This window comes from Homo sapiens, chromosome 12 (genome assembly GCF_000001405.40).
Source record: "Homo sapiens chromosome 12, GRCh38.p14 Primary Assembly".
NCBI classification, from domain to species: domain Eukaryota; kingdom Metazoa; phylum Chordata; class Mammalia; order Primates; family Hominidae; genus Homo; species Homo sapiens.
This window is the reverse complement of record NC_000012.12, coordinates 76,733,216-76,740,964: the sequence shown is the minus strand read 5'-3', so window position 1 is coordinate 76,740,964 and position 7,749 is coordinate 76,733,216. Positions and strand designations below refer to the sequence as shown.

The 7,749-nt window shown below is 41.2% G+C and overlaps 1 annotated feature.

The window, feature by feature from the left end:
- Positions 1,537–2,038: an enhancer, noted in NCBI's record as "H3K27ac hESC enhancer chr12:77132707-77133208 (GRCh37/hg19 assembly coordinates)". NCBI's record gives its function as "activates a minimal SCP1, AML or CMV promoter by ChIP-STARR-seq in primed H9 embryonic stem cells {active_cell/tissue: H9 hESC(primed)}" and the evidence as "EXISTENCE:reporter gene assay evidence [ECO:0000049][PMID:30033119]".

Below are 7,749 nucleotides of genomic sequence, written 5' to 3'. Positions count from 1 at the left end.
TGAGGCTCACCATAAAAGTTAGAATCCCTCTTCCCCAAGGCCGTCATAGCAACCAGAACCCTGTTCCCCTAAAGCTAGCCATAAAACCTAAAAATATTATTCTAACTTACCCCTCTCCTTTTCTGAGTAAAAACTGGCCATAGAGAAATTCTCTGACCTGCTTGTTTAACTGTAGGTTATAAGACCCCCATTCCAGAGAGGGTCCTGCCCCATACCCGGAGGGAAGGAGTGCCGCACAGAGAGGCCAAGAAGAATCTAGACAGACAGGCCTTGCTGGGTTTCCCAACTCGGTGTTAGCGTTGGATCGTACCTTTCCTATCCACTTGTATTTCTGTGTGGCTGTCCATAGTCCGGTGAACTTAAGCATAAAAATGAACAATTTACCTGTGCCTTTGGGTCCGAAGGCTCCCGTGTATACATGCTAAATAAATTTGTATGCCTTTTCTTCCATTAATCTGTCTTTTGAGACTTGGTTTTTCAATAAAACTTCAGAGGGTCAAGGTGAGTGCTCCTTTGACCCCCACACTTGCAACCAAAACCACCACCACCACCACAAGCATACAAAAACTAAAACAGTTGGTTTGTTATACTAAGGATCTTCTCTATGTTGGAGATTAATTTACTTTGAATTTTAGCAAAGGTAAATAGGTCTTTCGCTTAATTTTTGTGTGGTATTCCTGTACTTAAACTCTCCCCAGAACTAGTGATTTTCTCTTTGCATGTGACTACCATCTTTTGTTTTTTTCACAACTGCCCCTGAGATCTGGGCCACTCCCAGCTTTCTAGTTTTACACATGGCATAATCATTTTGTTTCTTACCTCTTATGTTCTTACATAACCTCTGAAAAGATGCTTTCCGTATTGTTGGCATTGAGCCAAACCATCCTCTCTTTTTTATATTTTTGAGATTTAAAGCTACAAAAAATCATATTATTGTACCGCTTTTGAAAAATGATGTGAGGGGATTCAGGGCATCATGGTGGATGGGAGGCAGGACTAGATAGTACGCGGAGGCTTGCATTGTGAATTTTAGCTGCAGATCAACTGTAAGAACAAACCAGCAATCCTGAAAGGACCCACAGACCTTCTGAAGGAAGCGGACTACTCCTGTAGGACCCGGGAGACACCCTAAATACTGTGAGTGCCCCAACTGCAGAAGTGGGAAAGGGAGACCCTCCTCTCCTGAACACACACCCTCACTGGAGAAGCTAAAGGTCTATTTCTGAGAGGTCTCTGACTTTACCTGGAGCTGAGTCAAGTTAGAGAGGCTAGCAAAATACAGGCATAGAGGAAGCAGCAGAAAGGCCCTGGGAGCTTGCTGGGTCCCCAAGCAGCCCATTCCTGCCTGGCACCACAGGGATCCAACAGGAGGGCGGCCAGAGGAGCAGGGGGTAAAACTCCACAGGGAGAAGGAAATCTCTAGCTGAACTTTGCAACAATTTGAACGGGGGTGAGAAGCCTCCTGGCCAGAACCAGGGGAGGGTGAGAATCCGGTGTGCAGACTTCACAGGCAGAGGAAGAACTAGAGCCCTTTTGTTTCACAGCTGGGAGGCAAATAGCCTCAGGCAAATTTTCAAGCCCGTCTTGCCCTCTGCCTGGAAACAGACTCGGAGTTGTTGAGGTGGGCACAGTGGGAGTGAGACCAGCCCTTCAGTTTGTGTGAGAGCTGGGTGAGGCGTATGACTGCCGGCTTTCCCCCATTTTCCTGACAAACTGCATGACTCAGCAGAGGCAGCCATAATCCTCCTAGGTACACAACTCCAGTGACCTGGGAATCTTGCCCCCATCCCCCACATCAGCCACAGCAAGACCTGCCCAAGGAGAGTCTGCACTCAGACACACCTAACCCCACCCTGATGGTCCTTCCCTATCCACCCTGGTAGTGGAAGACAAAGGGCATATAATCTTGGGAGTTCTAGGGCCCTGCCCACCGTCGGTCCCTCTCCACACTACTGCAGCTGACGGTTTCTGGAAAACACCACCTACTGGCAGGAGGCCAATCAGCACAAAAATAGAGCATTAAGCCACCAAAGCTAAGGACTCTCATGGAGTCCATTGCACCCTCCGCCACCTCCACTGGAACAGGCACTGTATCTATGGCTGAGAGACCCATAGACAGTTCACATCACAGGACTCTGTGCAGACAACCCCAGTACCAGCCTGTGGCTGGATAGACTTACTGGGTGACTAGACCTAGAAGAGAGACAACAATCACTGCAGTTTGGCTCACAGGAAGCCACATCCACAAGAACAGGGGGAAAGTACTACAACAAGGGAACACACCGTGGGACAAAAGAATCTGAACAACAGTCTTCAGCCCTAGATCTTCTCTCTGACAGAGCCTACCCAAATGAGAAGGAACCAGAAAAACAACCCTCATAATATGACAAAACGAGGCTCTTCAACACCCCCCAAAAATTACACTAGTTCACCAGCAATGGATCCAAACCAAGAAGAAATCCCTGATTTACCTGAAAAAGAATTCAGGAGATTAGTTATTAAGCTAATCAGGGAGGGACCACAGAAAGGCAAAGCCCAATGCAAGGAAATCCAAAACATGATACAAGAAGGGAAGGGAGAAATATTCATGGAAATACATAGCTTAAAGGAAAAACAATAAAAAATTCAGGAAACCTTGGACACACTTTTAAAAATGCAAAATTCCCTGGAAAGTCTCAGCAATAGAATTGAATAAGTAGAAGAAGAAAATTCAGAGCTCAAAGACAAGGTCTTCAAATTAACCCAATCCAACAAAGACAAAGAAAAACTAATAAGAAAATATAAACAAAGCCTTCCAGAAGTCTGGGATTATGTTAAACGACCAAACCTAAGAATAATCAGTGAACCTGAGGAAGAAGAGAATTCTAAAAGCCTGAAAAACATATTTGGGAAAATAATCAAGGAAAACTTCCCTGGCCTTGCAAGAAACCTAAACAACCAAATACAAGAAGCACAAAAAACACCCGGGAAATTCATCACAAAAAGATCTTCACCTAGGCACATTGTCATCAGGTTATCCAAAATTAAGAAGAAGGAAAGAATCTTAAGAGCTGTGAGACAGAAGCACCAGGTAACTTATGAAGGAAAACCTATAAGATTAACAGCAGATTTCTCAGCAGAAACCCTACAAGCTGGAAGGGATTGGGGATCTATCTTCAGCCTCCTCAAACAAAACAATTATCAACCAAGAATTTTGTATCCAGTGAAACTAAGCATCATACATGAAGGAAAGATACAGTCATTTTCTTTTTCTTTTTTTTTTTTTTGAGACGGAGTCTCGCTCTGTCGCCCAGGCTGGAGCACAGTGGCACGGTCTTGGCTCACTGCAAGCTCTGCCTCCCAGGTTCACACCATTCTCCTGCCTCAGCCTCCCGACTAGCTGGGACTACAGGCGCCTGCCACCACGCCTGGCTAATTTTTTGTATTTTTAGTAGAGACGGGGTTTCACCGTGTTAGCCAGGGTGGTCTCGATCTCCTGACCTCATGATCCACCCACCTTGGCCTCCCAAAGTGTTGGGACTACAGGTGTGAGCCACCGTGCCCGGCCAAGATACAGTCATTTTCACACAAACAAATGTTGAGAGAATTCGCCATTACCAAATCACCACTACAACAACTGCCAAAAGTAGCTCTAAATCTTGAAACAAATCCTGGAAACACATCAAAACAGAACTTCTTTAAAGCATAAATCATACAGGACCTATAAAACAAAAATACAAGTTAAAAAGCAAAAACAAAAAACAAAACCAAAGTACATAGGCAACAAAGAGTACAGTGAAAGCAATGGTACCTCACATTTCAATACTAATATTGAATGTAAATGGCCTAAGTGCTCCACTTAAAAGACACAGAACCACAGAATGGATAAGAATTCACCAACCAACCATCTGCTGCCTTCAGGAGACTCACCTAACACATAAAAACTCACATAAACTTAAAGTAAAGGGGTGGAAAAAGACATTTCATGCAAATGGACATCAAAAAGCAAGCAGAGGTAGCTATTCTCATATCAGACAAAACAAACTTAAAAGCAACAGCAGTTAAAGGAGACAAAGAGGTACAGTATATAATGGTAAAAGGCCTTGTCCAACAGAAAAATATTACAATCCTAAGTAGGATACACATTCTATTCAACAGTGCATGGAACTTTCTCCAAGATAAACCATACGATAAGCCATAAAACGAGCCTCAATAAATTTAAGAAAATTGAAATTATATCAAGCACTCTCTCAGACAACAGTGGAATAAAACTGGAAAGCAACTTCAAAAAAAAAAAAAACCATGCAAATACATGGAAATTAAATAACGTGCTCCTGAATGAGCATTGGGTCAAAAATGAAATTAAGATGGAAATTTAAAAATTATTCAAACTGAATGACAATAATGACACAGCTTATCAAAGCCTCTAGGATACAGCAAAGGTGGTGCTAAGAGGAAAGTTTTTGGGCCTAAATGCCTACATCAAAAAGCCTGAAAGAGCACAAACAGACAATCTAGGGTCACATGTCAAGGAACTACAGAAACAAGAGCAAACCAAACCCAGCAGAAGAAAGGAAATAACCAAGATTGGAGCAGAACTAAATGAAATTGAAACAAAAAAAAAATACAAAGGTAAATGAAACAAAAAATTGGTTCTTTGGAAAGATAAATGAAATTGTTAGACCACTAGCAAGATTAATCAAGAAAAGAAGAGAGAAAAATCTATCAGGGGAAATTCAGCCAGATATACGGCGAAATTCACCCCCGATATTTCATGTAGTTTCTTTTCTATTTTCCCTAAGTGTCGGCCAGTCTGAGAAATAAAGGGAAAGAGTATAAAAGAGAGAAATTTTAAAGCTGGGTGTCCAGGGGAGACATCACATGTTGGCAGGTTCTGTGATGCCCCACAAGCTGCAAAACCAGCAAGTTTTTATTAGTGATTTTCAAAAGGGGAGGGAGTGTACAAATAGGGTGTGGGTCACAGACATCATGTGCTTCACAAGGTAATAGAATATCACAAGGCAAATGGAGGAGGGCGAGATCACAGGGCCACAGGACCAGGGCGAAATTAAAATTGCTAATGAAGTTTTGGGCATGCATTGTCATTGATAACATCTTATCAGGAGACAGGGTTTGAGAGCAGACAACCAGTCTGACCAAAATTTATTAGGCGTGAATTTCCTCGTCCTAATAAGCCTGGGAGCGCTACAGGAGACTGGGGCTTATTTCATCCCTACAGCTTCGACCATAAAAGATGCCGCCCCCCAAAGCGGCCATTTTAGAGGCCTACCCTCAGGGACGCATTCTCTTTCTCAGGGATGTTCCTTGCTGAGAAGAAGAATTCTGAGATATTTCTCCCATTTGCTTTTGAAAGAAGAGAAATATGGCTCTGTTCCGCCTGGCTCACTGGCGGTCAGAGTTTAAGGTTATCTCTCTTGTTCCCTGAACATTGCTGTTATCCTGTTCTTTTTTCAAGGTGCCCAGGTTTCATATTGTTCAAACACACATGCTCTACAAACAATTTGTGCAGTTAACGCAATCATCACAGGGTCCTGAGGCAACATACATCCTCCTTATCTTATGAAGATGATGGGATTAAGAGATTAAAGTAAAGACAGGCATAGGAAATCACAAGGGTATTGACTGGGGAAGTGATAAGTGTCCATGAAATCTTCACAATTTATGTTCAGAGACTGTAGTAAAGACAGGTGTAAGAAATTATAAAAGTATTAATTTGGGGAACTAATAAATGTCCATGAAATCTTCACAATCCACATTCTTCTGCCATGGCTTCAGCCAGTCCCTCTGTTCGGGGTCCCTGACTTCCCACAACAAAAATCCAAATAACCTCACTAAGAAATGAAACAGGAGATATTACAACTGACAATACTGAAATACAAAAGATCATTCAAGGCTACTATGAACATCTTTACGCACATAAACTAGAAAACCTAGAAGAGATGGATAAATTCCTGGAAAAATACAACCCTCCTAGCTTAAACCAGGAAGAATTAAATACCCTGAACAGACCAATAACAAGCAGTGAGATTGAAATGGTAATTAAAAAATTACCAACAAAAAAAAAGTCCAGGCCCGGTTGGATTCACAGCAGAATTCTACCAGACGTTCAAAGAATTGGTACCAATCCTTTTGATACTATTCTACAAGATAGAGAAAGAAGGAACCCTCCCTAATTCATCCTATAAAGTCAGCACAACCCTAATACTAAAACCAGGAAAGGACATAATCAAAAAAGAAAACTACAGACCAATATCCTTGATGAACATAGATGCTAAAATCCTTAACAAAATGCTAGCTAACCAAATCCAACAACATATCAAAAAGATAATTCACCATGATCAAGTGGGTTTCATACCAGGGAGGCAGGGATGGTTTAACACATGCAAGTCAATAAATGTGATACATCACGCAAACAGAATTAAAAATAAAAGTCACATGATCATCTCAGTAGATGCAGAAAAAGCATTTGGCAAAATCCAGCATCTCTTTATGATTAAAACCCTCAGCAAAATCAGCAAACCAGGGACATACCTTAATGTAATAAAAGCCATCTATGACAAACTCACAGCCAACATAATACTGAATAGGGAAAAGATGAAAATATTCCTGCTGAGAACTGGAACAGGACAAGGATACCCACTCTCACCACTCTTCTTCAACATAGTACTGGAAGTCCTAGCCAGAGCAATCAGACAAGAGAAAGAAATAAAGGACCTCCAAATTAGTAAAGAGGAAGTCAAACTGTCACTGTTTGTTGACAATATGATCGTTTACCTTGAAAACGCGAAGGACTCCTCTAGAAAGCTTCTAGAACTGATAAAAGAACTCATCAAAGTTTGTGGATACAAGATTAATGTACACAAATCAGTAGCTCTTCTATACACCAACAGCAACCAAGCAGAGAATCAAATCAAGAACGCAACCCCTTTTACAATAGCTGCAAAAATAAAATAAAATACTTAGGAATATACCTAACAAAGGAGTCGAAAGACCTCTGCAAGGAAAACTACAAAACACTTCTGAAAGAAATCCTAGATGACACAAACAAATGGAAACACATCCCGTGCTCATGGATGGGTAGAATCAATATTGTGAAAATGATCATCCTGCCAAAAGCAATCTACAAATTCAACACCATCCCCATCAGAATACCACCATCATTCTTCACAGAATTACAAAAAACAATTCTAAAATTCATATGGCACCAAAAAAGAGCCTGCATAGCCAAACTGAGACTAAGCAAAAAGAACAAATCTGGAGGCATCACACTACCTGATTTCAAACTATACTATAAGGCCATAGTCACCAAAACAGTGTGGTACCGGTATAAAAGTAGGCACATAGACCAATGGAACAGAATAGAGAACACAGAAATAAACCCAAATATTTACAGCCAACTGATCTTCGATAAACCAAACAATAATGTAAAGATCCTCATCTCTCACCTTATACAGAAATCAACTCAAGATGAATTAAGGACTTAAACCTAAGACATGAAACTATAAAAATTCTGGAACATAACATTGGAAAAACCCTTCTAGACATTGACTTAGGCAAGGATTTCATGACCAAGAACCCAAAAGCGAATGCAATAAAAACAAAGATAAATAGCTGGGACCTAATTAAACTAAAGAGCTTTTACACAGCAAAAGGAAGTCAGCAGGGTAAACATACAACTCACAGAGTGGGAGAAAATTTTCAGAATCTATACATCTGACAAAGGACTAATATCCAGAATCTACAATGAAC